We start from the raw sequence: 20,206 nt of genomic DNA on the forward strand, positions 1-20,206 counted from the left end.
TTGAAACACAGCTTATCTCTCTGTGATCATGTAACCTTTCAGGCCAATTTTGTAGGTAATCATTATTCCAGTATTGCTGTGCTTTATAATAGATTTTTATATGTGTGTTTAAATTACTCATAATAGGATTCATGAAGTCATTCCCTGTGATCTACTTTGTTCATTCAACATTCTATTTGTGAGACTCATCAATGCTACTTCCTGTAGTTTTGGTTATAAATTCCATTTTCAGTGTGCATGCAGGGAGCGGTTTTATATTACAAATAAAGTTGCTATGCTCATTTTTGCTAATATGAGAAATTTGTTGTTTTCTTTTGTTTCCTGATCATTCCTCTTACAAAAGGGTTAATTATTATTACAAAAGTGTAAAGTCAGTTTAGCAACTACAGTGGATTACACATGCTGTCTGACAATATTTCAGAACTGCTTTATTTCTTTTTTTAATAAAATTTTGTCCACTCAATGTCTCCTTTCCATCATCTAACTCAGTAACTTCTCAATTTCTGAACATGATTTTCATGGTTTCTGTGTTATATTGCTCTGGGAATGTGCACAGTATCACACTGTCATGAATTATGACCAGGATTTTCATAAGTTCTGTGTTATATTGCTCTGGACATGTGCACAGTATCACAGTGTCATGAAATCTGATGACTCCTCTTCCAGATGTAATAAGGTTAATGTATAAAAAGACACTGGAAAAAACTAAATGTATGCACGATCTTTTTACAAAATGATGGAGTTAATTACAACAGATACAATGTGGATTAGATAAAATAAATAAAAATAGAAGCATGATATTACAACTAAGGAAAATAAATACTTGGAAGGCTATGTCTAGAGTTCAAAATGTTGTACATCATTATGTGAACACTCTTGAGATGTTGATAGATATTCTGAAAAAAATTGAAATCAATATGTCATAGTTTCAGATCCATTCTGAAAAAGCTGCTTTTTATTTTCCTCCTAGTACAGTGCTGCAACTCAAATGTCCTGCTGTGTTTGGCAGTGAATAGTCCTGCACAAATTAGAGTTGCAAAAAATATTTCACCACAAACCCATTTTTATAAGAATACAAACACATCTTGGATAGCTTACACTGAGCTTCAGAATTTGGTCTCATATTCTTAGTGCCTAAAAGTAAGCACAATCTGTCATATGTATCTTACTAACTTCGAAGAAATCTCTAATTTTCTCACAAGTAACAACTATTTCTCTTTCTAGAATTTTATTGAATAAATATTCATATGAATCTTAATATAGAAGGTACAAGGCAATGTAGTGCTCAATATTTTCAATTTTATCACTTATAAATTGTTATAAATTTGTGATATATCTTGCCACAGTCTCTGTGACAGGACAAACTCAATGAAGACAATTTTAACACATGGGTATGAAGGGAATTTTGAGGCAATGAAGGGAGGTGAAAAAATACAACACAAATAAGAGTGAGTTTATATAAATTCAGCCTAAGCTAATGTAACTGAGAAAAGTCAGAGGGATATGTGGATTTACATTCGTTATTCAATTGTTTTAATGCTTCATCATTCAGTGGAGTTTAAAACATATGTGGTAAAAATGTCTAAATGATCGAGTAGAATTATTCAACATTTTATTTCAATTTAGTGACTGGGAAGGAATGATTCTCAAATGTAAAGAACACTTTGCCAACTTAAAAAGAAACATAGGAACAAGCTAACTTGACCAGATAGCTTCCTTCTTGGAGTAATATTGCAGACCTACTTAAAGAAAAATTATGATGGAAATTTGAGTCAATACAGTTTTGTTTGCATAAATTAGTGTATTACAACAGTTGACAAGATCAAGGCAACTGGGAATACTATGGTATGATGCTCACAATAGGTGGTTCCATAAAGTAAGTTGAGATGAGTTATTTTCCTGAAGTGAATTCAGCCAATACGTACTGGGAATTATTGAGGCAATATAAAGTCTTTTCTCCTGATTGACCTTAAAAGCGCACCTCCTCCTGAGGACAAAACAAGGGAACTCTGTGGTAGGAAACCCTCAACACTAAAGATCCCAGAGATGCCCATTTCTCATTCTGAAGACATTGACTGGACCTGGATCTGAGCTACCACTAATCAGCTTTATCCAACTTCTTGATAACTATTTGTTTTAAAACCCGAATGGAGGAAAGTTGCATCCTGTTTCTCTCTTCATACTGATTGAGAAAAATGATTTGTTTTTCTTTTAAAAATTGCTATTCTATTTCATGAGAGTCCCATAAGGAGGTTCCCTCTCTATCTTCCCAGCACTGAAGAGATATTTTTTGGTAGGTTTGTATTCTCAGGTCACAGTTGTTGTTGAATTAAAATTTAAACTACTTTTGAGTATTTTTTTTCTTTCTTACCCACAATATTATTCACAATTTATTTAAATAAATAAAACTCAAAAAAGTATACTTTACTACCTCATATTTAAAAAATTGTATTTCAACCCATCAGGCCGAATTCAAGATTCCATCTCCTCTGCAGATTTCTTCTAACTCCTTTGTTGCTCCTAGATTATTCAGCTTCCATTATTGCTGATTTTAGTCCCTTCAGTAAAATGTGATGCATGAATAAGCATAAAAAGTGCATTTCTGTCAAATGAGTCTACTCAACAGGCTTGTCTTTCTGTTTATGACATCATTTTTTATTGTCTGGAATAATTTTCCTTCACAAATTGGCTTTGCTGATACATGTAGAATTATCTCATAGAATAAAATCTAAATGCCACAACATGCAAGAAATATAACTCTAAATTAGAAAACCCTATGTTTTCCCAAAATCTTCTAATTATTGCATATCATTTTGTGGAATGCATATATGGATAAACCTTTCCTGTGATCTGGTCTCTTTCTCACTTCCTCAGAGTCTTTGCGAAATGCCACTAGACATGTGAGGTTTCCCTTGACTACGCTGCTCAAAGTTGAACGTGCTCTTGCAATTCGAACACCTTTCTTTGACTTGCTTTTCTCTGAAGCGTTTATCCTCTTGTGACATAAAGTGGGTTATATGTCATCATCTGGCCTCACTCCCTGTGACCTGTGTGGGCACGGGCCTTCTTTGTTCTGATTATTGTGGTAGCCCCAGTGCTCAACACATAGCCAGGCTTCATAAGCATGTTTCGAAAGCATGCATCTCATGCTTTTCTGAAATTCCGTTTTTCTTTGTACTTATTCTTCAGAGGAGATATTGGGTGTATTAGTTCCCTAGGAATGAGAATACAGAGTATCACAAACTGGTTACCTAAAACAACAGAAATTTGTTCTCTCACAGTTCTGCAGGCTAGAAATCTGAAATCAAGTTGTCAGCAGGGTTGGTTATTTCTGAAGGCTCTAAGAGGAGGAATCTTTCCCATTACTTTCTCCCAGGTTCTTGTGATAACTAACAGTTTTTGGCATTTCTTGGTTTGCAGATGCACCACTCCAATCCCTGCCTCCCCCATCACATGGTATCCTCAGTGCCTCAGTCTTCACATGGCCGCCCTCTGATCAGAACATGAGTCATATTGGATTAGAGAGGCGCGCTCTGCTCCAATATGACCTCACCTTAACTAATTACAGTCTTTATGTTTTTCCAAACAAGCTCACATCCTGAATATCCTTTTGACAAAAAAAATATAATTCAATCCATAACACAGGGCTATAGAAAAAAGGGCCTAGGTTTTAGATTTGAATAATTGAAAATCCTTTCGGTGTATCCACTTAGTGTATAGAAAACTCACTATGAGGAGTAGATCAAATACTCTAAACTGTAAAGTAATAGGCAACCAAACAGTTTCTGTTAACACTGGTAGAAAAGTGCCTACTATAATGTGAACAAAGACACAAATTTACTTTCAATTTCTACTATTGTGTTGGTCACATGCTGACTAAAGCTGAATTGCTGTATCAACGTATCTGTAAAAGACTTCTGATTTCTAAGGAAGTATCTGTTTGCTTTGGAGACATATTCTTTTTGGAAAAACTCCATCAATAATGTATTGAATATTGTTATTCTAATATTTCAGTTGAGAAAAAGGACACTCGGAAGAGAAACTTAGGACAGGCTCCATAATTTTATCAGTGAGGCAGTGCTGAAAGAACACATTTTGTTCTGATTCTATACTTTTTGAACTTTTAGTTTCTTACTTCTGGTCATACTGTATTGATCACTGACCTGCAAAATTTACCAAAATCACATGCTTTATAAGGTACTGGGTAAAGTTTTACCAAATCAATGAACTGGTTTTGTGTTACTAGGTAAAAAACATATTCATCATGGCATGGGAGAATCAGACCTTCAACTCTGACTTCATCCTCCTGGGAATCTTCAATCACAGCCCCACCCACACCTTCCTCTTCTTTCTGGTCCTGGCCATCTTTTCAGTGGCCTTCATGGGAAACTCTGTCATGGTTCTCCTCATCTACCTGGACACCCAGCTCCACACCCCCATGTACTTCCTCCTCAGTCAACTGTTCCTCATGGACCTCATGCTCATCTGCTCTACCGTACCCAAGATGGCCTTCAACTACTTGTCTGGCAGCAAGTCCATTTCTATGGCTGGTTGTGCCACACAAATTTTCTTCTATGTATCACTGCTTGGCTCCGAATGCTTTCTGTTGGCTGTTATGTCTTATGACCGCTATATTGCCATTTGCCACCCTCTAAGATACACCAATCTCATGAGACCCAAAATTTGTGGACTTATGACTGCCTTCTCCTGGATCCTGGGCTCTATGGATGCAATCATTGATGCTGTAGCGACATTTTCCTTCTCCTACTGTGGGTCTCGGGAAATAGCCCACTTCTTCTGTGACTTCCCTTCCCTACTAATCCTCTCATGCAATGACACATCAATATTTGAAAAGGTTCTTTTCATCTGCTGTATAGTAATGATTGTTTTTCCTGTTGCAATCATCATCGCTTCCTATGCTCGAGTTATTCTGGCTGTCATTCACATGGGATCTGGAGAGGGTCGTCGCAAAGCTTTTACTACCTGTTCCTCTCACCTCATGGTGGTGGGAATGTACTATGGAGCAGGTTTGTTCATGTACATACGGCCCACATCTGATCGCTCCCCTATGCAGGACAAGCTGGTGTCTGTATTCTACACCATCCTCACTCCCATGCTGAATCCCCTCATCTACAGCCTCCGCAACAAGGAGGTGACCAGAGCACTCAGGAAAGTGTTAGGAAAGGGCAAGTGTGGAGAGTGAGTACTTTGTAAACTTTATGCTTTGCTGTCTGCTAAATTCTTTTAACTGTCCCTTTTTTTCCATTAAGTCCTCAAAATAGCTTTCATTTTGTACATAAACGGGCACCTATATAATCTATTTCAGATAAACTATTTTAAATATTTCTTGTTTTATATTCAATTCAGTTGTTACTACAATATAAGGCATTTTCAATAATGACATTAAAGTTTTTTAAATTTTTTTATTTAAATAGGTTTTTGGGGAACAGATGGTGTTTGGTAACATGAATAAGTTCTTTGGTGATTTCTGAGATTTTTGTTCACCCATCACCCAAGCAGTGTTCGCTGTACTCAATGTGTATTCTTTAATCCCTCTTCACCCCCACCTTTTCTCCAGGTCCCCAAAGTCCAATGTATCATTCTTATGCCTTGGTGTCTCATAGCCTGGCTCCCAGATATGAGTGAGAATATTCAATGTCTGGTTTTCCATTTCTTCATTTCTTCACTTAGAATAATAGTCTCCTATTCTATCTTGGTTTCTGCAAAATGCTAATATTTTTTCCATTTTTTGGCTGATAGTATTCCATGGTGTATATATATATATATGCCGCCTTTTCTTTATTCACTTGTTGATTGATGAGCTTTTGGGTTGGTTCCATATTTTTGCAATTGCAAATTTTGGTGCTATAATCATGTGTGTGCAAATACTTTTTTTGTATAATGACTTCTTTTCCTTTGGGTATACACCTAGTAGTGGTGTTTCTGGATCAAATGGTAAATCTACCTTTAGTTGTTTATGGAATCTTCACAGTGTTTTCCATCTTCACAGTGTTTTCCATAGTGGTTGTACTAGTTTACATTCCCACCAAGAGTGTAAAAGTGTTCCCTTTTCAGCACATCCTGCCAACATTTTTTTTTGTTTGATTTTGGCCATTCTTGCAGGACTGAGGTGGTATCACATTGTGGTTTTCATTTGCATTTCCCTGATAATTAGTTATGTCCAGCATTTTTCCATATGCTTGTTGGCCATTTGTATATCTTCTTTTGAGAATGGTCTATTCATGTCCCTTAGCCCACTATTTGATGGAATTTTTTTTCTTGCTGATTTGTTGGAGTTCTTTGTAGATTCTGGAAATTATTCCTTCATCAAATGAATAGACTGTGAAGATTTTCTCCCACTCTGTGTGTTGTCTGTAACTCTCCTGATTATATCTTTTGCTGTGCTGAAGCTTTTTAGTTTAATTAAGTCACATCTAATTATTTTTGTTTTTGTCACATTTGCTTTTGGGTTCTTGGTCATGAAGTCTTTTCCTAAGCCAATGTCTACGAGGGTGTTTCCGATGTAATCTTCTATAATATTTATGGCATCAGGCCTTAGGTGTAAGTCCTTAATCCATCTTGAGTTGATTTTTGTATATGGTGAGAGATGAGGATCCACTTTCATTCTCCTACATGTGGCTTTTCAATTATTCCAGCACCATTTGTTGAATACCTTGTCCTTTCCCCACTTTATGTTTTGGTTTGCCTTGTTGAAGAACAGTTGGCTGTATTTGACTTTATTTCTGGGTTCTCTATTGAGTTTCATTGATCTATGTGCTTATTTTTATACCAGCACCATGTTGTTTTGATGACTATGGCTTTATAGTATAGTCTGAAGTCAGTTATTATGATGTCTCCAGATTTGTTCTTTTGCTTAGTGTTGCTTTGGCTATGCAGGCTCTTTTTTGGCTCTATATTCATTTCAGGATTGTTTCTTCTAGTTCTGTGAAGATTGATGGTGGCATTTTGATGGGAATTTCATGGAATTTATAGATTGCTTTTGGAAGTATTGTCATTTTCACACTACTGATTCCACCATCCCTGGGCATGAGATGTGTTTCCATTTGTGTGTATTGTCAATAATTTCTTTCAGCCATGTTTTGTAATGTTCACTGTAGAGGTCTTTCACGTCCCTGGTTAGGTATATTCCTAAGGTTTTTTGTTCTTGTTGTTATTGTTGTTTTTGCAGCTATTGTAAAAGGGATTGAGTTCCTGATTTGATTCTCAGCTTGTTCGCTGTTGGTGTACAGCAGAACTACTGATTTGTGTACATTAATTTGGTATCCTGAAACTTTGCTGAATTTATTTACCAGTTCTAGGAGCTTTTTGGATGCGTCTTTAGGGTTTTCTAGGTATACAATTATATCATCAGCAAACAGCAACAGTTCTACTTTCTTTTAACCAATTTGAATGCCCTTTATATCTTTCTCTTGTCTGATTGCTCTAGGTAGGACTTTCAGTACTATGTTGAATAGAAGTGGTGAAAATGGGCATCCTTTTCTTGTTCTAGTTCTCAGGGGAAATGCTTTTAACTTTTTTCCATTTGGTATAATGTTGGCTGTGAATTTGTCGTAGATAGCTTTGATTATCTTAAGTATGTCCCTTCTATGCTAATTTTGCTTAGGGTGTTAATTGTAAAGGGATGCTGCATTGTGTCAATTTTTTTGTGTGTGTCTATTGAGATAGATGATCATGTGATGTTTGTTTTTAATTCTGTTTACATGGTGTATCATATTTATTGACTTACTTATGTTAAGCCATCCCTCCATTCCTGGTATGAAACCTACTTGATCATGGTGGATTATCTTTTTGACATGCTGTTGGATTCAGTTTGGCCGTATTTTTGAGGATTTTTGCATCTATATTCATCAGGGATATTCATCTGTAGTTTTCTGTTTTTTGTTGTGTGCACCCCTGCTTTTGGTATTAGGGTGATAGTGACTTTATAGAATAATTTAGAGAGGATTCCCTCTTTATCTTTTGGAATAGTGTCAATAGGATTGGTACTAATTCTTCTTTGAATGTCTGATAGAATTCAGCTGTGAATCAGGTCCTGGACTTTTTTTGTGTAGGCAGTTTTTTTTTTTTTTAATTACCATTTCAGTCTCGCTGCTTGTTATTGGTCTGTTCAGAGATTCTATATCTTCTTTGTTTTAGATAGAATGGTTATATATTTCCAGGAATTTATCCATCTCCTCTAGGTTTCCCAGTTTATTCACATTAAGGTGTTTATAGTAGCCTTGAATACTCTTTTGTATTTCTGTGGAATCAGTTGTTATATCTCCCATTTCATTTCTAATTGAGCTTATTTGGATCTTCTCTCTTTTTCTTGGTTAATTTTACTAATGGTCTATAAATTTTATTTATCTTTTCAAATAACCAGCTGTTTGTTTCATTTCTCTTTTGTATTGTCTTTTGGTTTCAATTTCATTTAGTTCTGCTCTGATCTTTGTTATTTCTTTTCTTCTGCTGGGTTTGGGTTTGGATTGTTCTTGTATCCCCAGTTCCATGAGATGTGACTTTAGATTGTCTATTTGTGCTCTGTCAGACTTTTTGATGTAGGCATTTAATGGTATGAACTTTCCTCTTAGCATTGCTTTTGCTGTATTGCAGAGGTTTAGATAGGTTGTGTCACTATTATCATTCAAGTTAAATAATTTTTAGTTTCCACCTCTATTTCATTGTTGACTCAATGATCTTTCAGGAGCAGGTTATTTAATTTCCATATATTTGCATGTTTTTGAGTGTTCTTTTGGGAGTTGATTCCAATTTTATTCCACTGTGTTCTGTGAGAGTACTTGATATAATTTCTATTTTCTTAAATTTACTGAGATTGCTTTGTATCCTGTCATATGGTCTTAGAGAACGTTCCATGTGCTGATGAATAGAATGTATATTCTACAGTTGTTGGGTAGAATATTCTGTATATAGGCTGGGCATGGTGGCTCACACCTATAATACCAACATTTTGGGAGGCCAAGTTGGGCAGGTCAGCTGAGGTTAGGCTTTCGAGAACAGCCTGGACAACATGGAGAAACCTCATCTCCATAAACATAAAAATAGCCAGGTGTGGTGGCAGGCACCTGTAATCCCAGCTACTCAGGAGGCTGAGGCAGAATAATCACTTGAAACCCAGAGGTGGAGTTTGTAGTGAGCTGAGATCATGCCATTGCACTCCAGCCTGGTGACAAGAGCAGAACTGCATCTCAAAGAAATAAAAAAAGAATGCTGTGTAAATATCTGTTAAGCCCATTTGTTGTGGGGTATGGTTTCAGTACATAGTTGACTTTCTGTTTTGATGACCTGCATAGTGTTCTCAGTGGAGTATTAAAATCTGCCATTATTTTTTATAAGAATTTTTTATTATATTTATTTTATATATATATATTTTTATTATACTTTAAGTTCTAGGGTACATCGAACACCGCATGTTCTCACTCATAGATGGGAATTGAACAATGAGAACACTTGGACACAGGAAGGGGAACATCGAACACCGCCACTATTTTTGTGTTGTCATCTATCTCATTTCTTAGGTCTAGTAGGAATCGTTTTATAAATTTGGGAGTTCCACTGTTAGGGGCATATATATTTGTGATTGTGATATTTTCCTGTTGGCGTAGTCCTTTTATCATTATATAATGTCCCCTTTTGTCTTTTTTAACTACTGTTGCTTTAAAGTTTTTTTTTCTGATATAATAATAGCTACTCATGCTCACTTTTGTTGTCCATTTGCATGGAATATCTTCTTCCACCACTTTAAGTTTATGTAAGTCCTTATGTGTTAGGTGAGTCTCTTGAAGATGCAGAAACATCTTTGGTTAATTCTTAACCATTCTGCCATTCTGTATCTTTTATGTGGAACACTGAGACCACTAACATCTGTGTCAGTATTGAGATGTGAGGTACTATTCTATACATCGTGGTATTTGTTGCCTGAATACCTTGGTTTTTTTTTTCATTCTGTTATTGTTATATAGATCCTGTGAGATTTATGTTTTAAGGAGGTTCTATTTTGGTGTATTCTAAGAATTTGTTTCAAAATTTAGAGCTCTTTTTAGCAGTTCTTATAATGCTGGCTTGGTAGTGTTGAATTGTCTCAGCATTTGTTTGTCTGGAAAAGACTGTCTCGTTCTTTCATTTATAAAGGTTAGTTCCATTGAATACAAAATTCTTGGCTGATAACTGTTTTGTGTAAAGAGGCTGAAAATAGGTCCACAATTCCTTCTAGCTTGTAAGGTTTTTCATGAGAAATCTGCTGTTAATCTGGTATGGTTTTCTTTATAGATTACCTGCTGCTTTTGTCTCATAGCTCATAAGATTCTTTCCTTCATCTTGACTTTAGATAACCTGTTGATTAGGTGCCAGGTGATGAGATCTTTTGCAATGAGTTTCCCAGGTTTTCTTGGAGCTTCTTGTGTTTGGATGTCTAGATCTCTAGCAAGGCTGGGGATGTTTTCTTCAATTATTCCCTCAAATACGTTTTCCAAACTTTTAGATGTCTCATCTTATCAGGAACATCAATTATTCTCAGGTTTGGACACGTAACATAGTCGCAAATTTCTTGGAGGCTTTGTTCATTTTTAAAAATTCTTTTTCTTTGTCTTGGATGGATTGAGTTAATTCAAAAACCTAGCCTTCAATCTCTGAGGTTCTTTCTTCTGCTTGTTCGATTCTATTGGTCATGCTTTCCAGTGCATTTTGCATTTCTCTCATTGTTTCCTTGATTTCCAGAAGTTGTGATTGTTTTTTATTTATGTCATCTATTTCATTGGAGAAATTTCTTTTCAGCTCCTGTATTGTGTTTTTGATTTCTTTAAGTTGGACTTCACCTTTCTCTGGTTCCACCTTGATTAGCTTAATAATCAACCTTCTGAATGCTTTTTCTGGCAATCCAGAGATTTCATCTTGGTTTGGATCCATTGTTGGTGAGCTGGTGTGATCTTTTGGGGTATGAATGAACCTTGTTTTGGCATATTACCAGAATTGTTTTTTGTTTCCTTCTCATTGGGTAGACTTGTCAGAAGGAAGAGCTGAGATTCAAGGGCTGCTATTCAGATTTTTTTGTCCCACTGTGTGTTCCCTTGAGGTGGTGTTCTCCCCCCTCCCCTAGGAATGAGGCTTCCTGAAAGCCAAACTGTATTGGTTTTTATGCTCTTCTGGGTCTAGCCACACAACAAAGCTACCAGACTCTTGGCGGGTACTGGGGAATGTCGGCAAAGAGTCCTGTGATGGGATCCCTCTAAAGGTGTTGCAGCAGTGAATACTAGCACCTGCTCAGGTGGAGGCAGCAGGGGATTTAAGTGGACTTTGTAAGGGTCCTTGGGTCCTTTTTGTGTTGGTTGTGGTTGGCCTCCAGCCAGGAGGTGGCGCTTTCCAGAGTGCATCAGCAGTGGCCCTGTAGGGAGGATGCAAACTTGCCGTACCTACAACTGGTCAAGTATTCAGGTTTCTAAGGTGGTGGGCAGGGCCATAGAGCTTACAAGAGATTATGACCTTTGTCTTCAGCTACAAAGGTTGGTAGATAAATACCACCAGGTGGGGGCAAGTATAGGTGTGTCTGAGCTCAGCCTCGCCTTGGTTGGGCCTTGCTGCTCCTGCTGCTGTAAGGGATGGGGGTGTGGTTTCCAGTCTAATGGAGTTATATTCCCAGGAGGACTATGGCTGTCTCTGCTGCAGCACAGAGGTTACCAGAGAAGTAGCAGAAAGCCAGCCTTCACAGGCCTCACTCAGCTCCCACACAGCCTGCAGTTCTGAAGGCCAATCTCACTTCCCTGTTGCCCCCACAACAGCAACAAGTCTATTTGCAGGCAGCTGGTGACCAGGGCTGACAACTTGCCCCAGACCATGGGCCTGTCTTTTGAGAAAGCAAACAGGCTCACAAGTTCTGAGCGTCTCAGGGAGCCTGCATCAGTGATCCAGTTCCTTCAAAGGGTCTCTGGATTCTCTCAGCTTTCCTGGTATGTTCCTGTAGTAGTTCTTGGTGCAAACATTCACAATGTGAGTTTCCACACGCTACTCTGTCCATCTGAGTGGGAGCTGAAAGCTAGTCCTCCCTCCTATCCATCATCTAAATCAAGATGTTAAAGTTCCATGTTTTTTCAGTATTATAAACTGCATTGTATGCAGCCAGGTAGCAAAGAAATCTTCTTTTCCAAAGGTATAAACTCAAAATTTTATTGAACGTCTTGAAATTCACTTTGAAATAAAAGTTAATACAACGATTTTTACATATTTAGTCAGTGTTTCTTCTTGATTTTTTTATTTTTGGTGGCTCTTGGAAGATACTGCCGTAACTTCAACCCAGACGACATCTTAATTTTTCACCTCTAATTGCTTCCATCCCAAAAATTTAACTTTTATTATGGGATACCAGATCCAACTCTCTTTCAGGTTGTTAAAATTAATCAAATCTTCATGCACTGATCCAACAAAGAAATAGTTTTGTTATTTAGATTCCCAGTGAATAGATAATTTACAAGTGCCCCTAAATTACACACTGATACTTAAATATTTTAGTAATGATTATTGGACTTACATTGAAATTCACAATATAAGTAAACTTTTCTGGATTTTCAAATGTAAATATCTTTTTACATAATAGTAAGAATAAAATTTTTGTAACTCTGTTGCTGTCACATTCCCAATAATGAAAAATCATTTAATCTTAGTTGGACTGACTTTATTTGTCTTATTGATTCATAGGTGAAGCAAATTTTTCTATAATTGGTAAATGCTTCAGTGGTTCTGCTTATTGAAAAGGATTAGAGTGTTTGGAATATATTTCCAGTCCTTGAAGTTGTTTTAAAGAAAATCATATCAGGCATATGGATTAAATGGCCAAAGACATACATCCACAGTGGCTCAAAGTAATAGACTAAGAAAATAACATTTAGACTTTATTCTGTGAATATAATAGATGTTCCTTACCTTGAAATAAGTAGTGAACCTGTACATAAAACAAAAAGTATGGTAATAGCTAACAAATATTTTTAATATTAATCCATAATACTATACGTTAATGACTATGCATCACAACAATGTATATATTGGGTTGAAGGAAATAAAGAGAGAATATTCATTAATCCTTATCTTTTTTTATTATACTTTAAGTTCTGGGGTACATGTGCACAATGTGTAGGTTTGTTATATAGGTATACATGTGCGATGTTGGTTTGCTGCATCCATCAACTGGTCATTTACATTAGGTATTCCTCCTAATGCTGTCCCTCCCCCGGCCCCCCACCCAATAATCCTTATCTTTTTAACAATTAAGAAAAAAGCATGATCATAGTTATTTAAAATCACTTGGCTAAATTAGAAAATTAAATTTTGTAATATCTGCTTCTAAGCATAATACACTTTTGATTACATAAAGTTAGATTTATTTATATCCATAAATCTATGGTATTATGAGATATAGATAATTTCATTCAGGTCACCATCTGATTTTTTAAAACTCAAATAGTTTCTAAATTATCAAAATTATTTTCTAATCCAGTTGTTTTCTTCTCCTTGGTCTAGTATTAATGAAGTATTTTACTGAAGTTAATTTATAATTTGAAATGTAATAGTTTTTGCAAGTTAATTGAAATTACTGATAAGGAAAAAGAATCTAGACGCTATTTAAATTTATACAGGCCATGCAAAACAGAAACCAGGCTCATGTCTTTGTTCCTGGTGTCTCCTATGTCTAGCAGGGAGCACAATATTCATTCTATAGAGTGGTGTTCTACAATGCCCTATTTGTTTCAAACTCAATGTTACTACTAATTTAACATCTTCTTACATCATTTTGTTTTGCTCATGTTATAAAAGATTATTTATCTCTGTAGGTATGGAATATCCAGTATGTATTTTAAAATTTCTGAAACCACTGAGAACAATAAAAACATATTTAATAGATTATTATTTGTGAAGATAATTACCATCATTCTGGTCACTGTGAAGAGTAAGCTCTCTTTGCTGTTTTTTCCTTCTTCCTCCATATCTCTGTTTCTTTGATGTTCACTAAAAATGGTTAGCATTGCTTGGTACTGAAACATCAGAGTCTGTTTCTAAATCTAGAGGCTGTATCTATTTGTGTTCAGGAAATTTTCTCTTCATATTATGTAAAAACAATACATATCTCCATTTTTCCTGATATCTCCAGCCCCTGCTCTTGTCTCATTGTACCCACCAAACTCCCACTTCCATCAGTCCTGCTGATTATCAATACAACTTTGTTAGTGGACATTCAAGACTATCTGCAACTATTATTGCTTACACCCTAATCATAATAATGTGTAACTTTTTTTCCTTTCATATATATATATATAATTGTATACAGACACATACATACACATACATAATTTAACCATTTAATGAGGCCATTTGTACTTACATCAATGTAATTCTAGAACAAAATACCAGAAGCAAAATGTATAATAGCATAAAACCTCAACATTGGTTCATTTTGAAGAATGTAGATATGGTATTAATTCAACAATAACTCAATTCACACACATATCTTTGTATCAGCCTTATATTGTTTTATGCTTTTTAAACTTGTACTATAGGCTTCTACCTGCAGCCTCCACTACGTGTACCTTATGTGCGCGTGTGTGTACGCACACATACACACACACACACACACAAACGAACTATCTATTTTTTTGGGTACTTAGATGACACTTTAGTTCTGCAATCTTACTGGTATTTCTGGCCATATCATGGTTCCTTGGTTTTGGGATTAGAACAAGTTCCTCTGGCAGTATGGGTCCAATTAGGAGACAGAAAGTACAAGGGGATTTTTAAAAGGAGACATTTATTATACAGAATTACTGTCTATAATAAAGTGTAACTATAATGTATATCATTTTAAAACTCTGTATAATATTTGGAATTTCTTGACCTAGGGCAAGGGAGAGTACCCAAAAAAGACAAAGTTGAAAAACGTACACAGCTCACTGGAGAAAGGATGGTTCAAAGCAGTAAAGTTTGCTGGTTTAGCCAGGGCAGAGCTGGTATAGAGCTGCTGGGAAAAAAACAGGAAACTGTCCAGAGTGCAGTCCAGAGAGCAGGCAAGCAACAAGCAGTGACCTGGGAATATAGCTGAAGTCCAGGTGCCAATGGAGGTAGAAGGACTTCAGAATACAGAGGCTAAATACCATGACAGCAGTGAACTTACAGAAGGAGCTACTGCTCAGCATGTGACTTTCTGGGCCACAGACACTATTGAGCATGTTACACAGGCCTTTGTTTCCATGGCAACAGGACTACAGGAAGGTTATGGCCAGACTGACATAGACAGTGTTCTAGGTATCTTCCTGAGGAAGGATCTACTAGAAATTATGGTACTCAAACCTCTCTGACACCCTGCAGAGATTGTAGAAAGTGTCTTCTCCCAGCGGAGTCCCTCTAGTACTAAATACTGAAAAAGCCTAATGTCATGTTCACTTTAAATGAAAAACACTCAAAGAAATTCCATTGTTCACCACAGAAATTATATTAAAGGATGCACTTGGAGCTGAAGGACAATAGATTGAACATTGACACTCTATTGTTTTGGCCAGTCAGCTTCCATATGCATCTTTCAATACATGTTTTACCTTTTTTGTAACAGCAAAACAATTCTATATTCCTGTATAGCAATATATATCTGTAGCTCTTTCAAGTAAAGAAGTTCTCACTCTTCCCTAGAATAAGAAGACTCACAATCCTAACAATCATTTATACATTGTGGGCTATATTAATTTTTTCCAACTTAGTCATGGTCTCACTGAATACATTATCACCTAAGGACTAAGTTGTAAAATTTACCTCCCATAAGTCTTACATAATTTTTAAGTGAGAAGCTATAGAAAAATAGAATGATTAGTATATGTACAAATAAACACCTGCATGTAACAAGCATAGAGAAAATATGAAATGCCATCACAATCCTCATTTCTATAACTGGATATTAATTTGTAATTAATATTTATCGCTTCTTTCTTCAATCTGTTCCATGTAATACCCTGAGCTTTCTTTTAAATCATACTTTAAGTTCGAGGGTACATGTGCACAACGTGCAGGTTCATTACATATGTATACATGTGCCATGTTGGTGTGCTGCACCCATTAACTCATCATTTACATTAGGTATATCTCCTAATGCTATCCCTTCCCCCTCCCTCCACCCCATGACAGGCCCCGGTGTGTGATGTTCCCCTTCCTGTGTCCAAGTGTTCTCATTGTTCAATTCCCACCTATGAGTGGGAACATGCGGTGTTTGTTTTTCTGTTCTTGCGATAGTTTGCTGAGAATGATGGTTTCCAGCTTCATCCATGTCCCTGCAAAGGACATGAACTCATCCTTTTTATGGCTGCATGGTATTCCATGGTGTATATGTGCCACATTTTCGTAATCCAGTCTATCATTGTTGGACATTTGGGTTGGTTCCAAGTCTTTGCTATTGTGAATAGTGCTGCAATAAACATACGTGTGCATGTGTCTTTATAGCAGCCTGACTTATAGTCCTTTGGGTATATACCCAGTAATGGGATGGCTGGGTCAAATGGTATTTCTAGTTCTAGATCCCTGAGGAATCGCCACACTGTCTTCCACAATGGTTGAACTAATTTACACTTCCACCAACAGTGTAAAAGTGTTCCTATTTCTCCACATCCTCTCCAGCACCTGTTGTTTCCTGACTTTTTAATGATTGCCATTCTAACTGGTGTGAGATGGTATCTCATTGTGGTTTTGATTTGCATTTCTCTGATGGCCAGTGATGATGAGCATTTTTTCATGTGTCTTTTGGCTGCATAAATGTCTTCTTTTGAGAAGTGTCTGTTCATATTCTTTGCCCACTTTTTGATGGGGTTGTTTGTTTTTTTCTTGTAAGTTTGTTTGAGTTCTTTGTAGATTCTGGATATTAGCTCTTTGTCAGATGAATAGATTGCAAAAATTTTCTCCCATTTTGTAGGTTGCCTGTCCACTCTAATGGTAGTTTCTTTTGCTGTGCAGAAGCTCTTTAGTTTAATTAGATCCCATTTGTCAATTTTGGCTTTTGTTGCCATTGCTTTTGGTGTTTTAGACATGAAGTCCTTGCCCATGCCTATGTCCTGAATGGTGTTGCCTAGGTTTTTGACTAGGTTTTCTTCGAGGGTTTTTATGGTTTTAGGTCTAACGTTTAAGTCTTTAATCTATCTTGAATTAATTTTTGTATAAGGTGTTAAGGAAGGGATCCAGTTTCAGCTTTCTACATATGGCTTGCCAGTTTTCCCAGCACCATTTATTAAATAGGGAATCCTTTCCCCATTGCTTGTTTTTGTCAGGTTTGTCAAAGATCAGATGGTTGTAGATGTGTGGTATTATTTCTGAGGGCTCTGTTCTGTTCCATTGGTCTGCATCTCTGTTTTGGTACCAGCACCATGCTGTTTTGGTTACTGTAGCCTTGTAGTATAGTTTGAAGTCAGGTAGCGTGATGCCTCCAGCTTTGTTCTTTTGGCTTACGATTGTCTTGGCAATGCAGGCCCTTTTTTGGTTCCATATGAACTTTAAAGTAGTTTTTTCCAATTCTGTGAAGAAAGTCATTGGTAGCTTGATGGGGATGGCATTGAATCTATAAATTACCTTTGGCAGTATGGCCATTTTCATGATATTGATTCTTCCTATCCATGAGCATGGAATGTTCTTCCATTTGTTTGTGTCCTCTTTTATTTTGTTGAGCAGTGGTTTGCAGTTCTCCTTGAAGAGGTCCTTCACATCCCTTGTAAGTTGGATTCCTAGGTATTTTATTCTCTTTGAAGCAATTTGAATGGGAGTTCACTCATGATTTGGCTCTCTGTTTGTCTGCTATTTGTGTATAGGAATGCTTGTGATTTTTGCACATTGATTTTGTATCCTGAGACTTTGCTGAAGTTGCTTATCAGCTTAAGGAGATTTTGGGCTGAGACTATGGGGTTTTCTAAATATACAATCATGTCATCTGCAAACACATTCTTTACTAGGTAAAGTGACCCAAACCTTTATTTTCAAATGTTATGAGTCATCAGTCATTCTGCATTTTTTTATTTGTGTGATTTTACAGTTATTTATATTGTCAGTCATGAAAATATTAAAAGTTACACTAGCGAATTCCCTGGGCCCGACTTACAGAATTTCTTCCGTTTATTGGATAGCAGCAACCAAAGTTTTGCCTAGGTAAGCAGTATCAATCACCGCATTCCATAAATTGAGCTCTCTTTTTATTTATAGGTTCAGTGTCATAAGGGGCATTAAATGGTTGAATGTCAGTTTCATCTTCTAATTCAGGGCAACTGTAGCTGCATTCACAATGGAATAATTTTCCCCTTATGGAACAAAATCTTTAAACCAACAGAGGTCAAAATGTCTAGGACAGAAAGTACATATTCTGTAAATGGATAATTAAATATAATGATGAGAGAAGCCACACCGTTTCTATTACTTCATTCTCAGATCATGGGTTCTGGCCAGGAAGGAGGCAGAATTCTACAAGCAAAAAGAATACCCTGTAAAGCAGAACCGCATGTGTTCAAGGGGTTTTATCCTGAGTGGTGCTGCAATTAAATTTTTTATAATCAATTCCACCCTTCAACTAGGTAAACTTCTTCTTGGCAATGAGGTATATGGTATGACAAGTTGATTCCAAGACCATAAACCCGTTCTTAAACTTCCTTTGCTGTGAAATAATTCCTTTGATCTAATTCACTTTTCCACTGGATACCATGATAGTGGATTAGACATTCTGTGAATCCACAATAGTGGTGCTGGCAGAGCATTATGATCAACGAAGGCAAATCCACATAAAAAATATGTGCTTATTCCAGTAAGGACAAATGTCTGTTCCATTATGGAATAGGTCTAATGGGGGAAGTCTGGTACCCAGGGTAATAATAGGATGTAGGGAACTCAGTGTTGTTCTGCGCTATCTTCAGATTAAGCACTCAGTAATAGGAGTAACCAGGTGATTTTGATAAGGGAAAGTTTAGAATGTTGATCCCAGGCATAGCTTTCATCCATGCCACTACGGTCATTTTGTTCAAAAACCATTAACCAGGAAAAGAAGCTGACTACTTTTTATAGAGCACATAATTTCATTCAATGGTGGATAAGAGTCTCCTGTGGGACAGATGCCCTTGCATTGTATAAAACACAGGTATCTTCACAATCCATGCCAATTATGGGAGGTTTATCCACATACTTCTTCATCAAAATTCCTTGCCACCAATCTTCTCATTTTCTTCGTCCAACTTCTTGACTGTTAGCAAAACCATTCATCACTGATGTGTACAGCAGTTGTGCTGCAGCCTGATCCTTCAGCAGAGACTTTCCTTGCTCTAGTCTCCACTCAAAACAGCCTTACAGCGACTTTTTACATGAGTCAATGTAAAACACTCAAATGTGGTCCGTGCTGCTTCCAAAATCCAAACATTTTGCCTATTTCTTTGTCCTGGTGGGTAAATCAACTTGTTTTCCATCTTGGAGGGAAGCTCTCATTATGTTTTAAATCACTGTGACCTTCACTGAGATGGTGAGTTCTTTAAACTGACTGGGGCTATTTTCTAGCCTCTTATTTTAATATTCCTTATTAAAGCATTTAAAGTCCTTGCTACTTTCTACTAAACAGAACCAATCAGCCTAAGTTAATCAAAGAGTCAACCAATGTGATGATCTTTCGAATATCAAAAGAATAAATACTTCAGCAAACCATATTATAGCAAAGAGCAGAGAAATTTGTGTATCCCTGAGGTGCTATATTGCTGGCCCTGACAAGTAAAAGCAAATTGCCTTTGGTGGTAGTTATATACTGTTATAGAGAGATTAGAAAACAAGTTAATGGCCACATACCAAGTAGCAGGAGTTGTTATAACTGACTGCAGAAAAGACCAAACATCTGAGACAGCAGCTGTTATTGGATTTCCCATGGGTTAAGTTGATGATAGCCCATACTCATATTCTAATACCCATCTGACTTCTGCACAGGCCACACTGATGAACTAAATGGGATGTGATTGTTATCACTATTTTTTGTTTTTTTAACAAATGTCCTTTTTTTTTTTACAATTACCCCCCCTTTTTTTTTTACAACTGCCCTATATTGAGAGAAAACTTAATATTATTTTTTGTTTTTGTTTTTTTAATTGGCATAGATATTTTTTCTTATAGTTCATTCTGCATTGCACTGTTTTCTTTTTTTTAATTATTATTATACTTTAAG

General features: G+C 36.5%; 1 protein-coding gene across 1 annotated transcript; it reads left to right on the plus strand.

Annotated features, from left to right (window-relative positions):
• Positions 1-4,264: 4,264 nt before the first annotated feature.
• On the plus strand, positions 4,265-5,203 carry OR2M5 (olfactory receptor family 2 subfamily M member 5). The gene has a single exon (NM_001004690.1). The coding sequence runs from the start codon at positions 4,265-4,267 to the stop codon at positions 5,201-5,203; it is 939 nt and encodes a 312-aa protein (NP_001004690.1).
• Positions 5,204-20,206: the final 15,003 nt, after the last annotated feature.

Source organism: Homo sapiens, chromosome 1, assembly GCF_000001405.40.
Source record: "Homo sapiens chromosome 1, GRCh38.p14 Primary Assembly".
NCBI classification, from domain to species: Eukaryota; Metazoa; Chordata; class Mammalia; order Primates; family Hominidae; genus Homo; species Homo sapiens.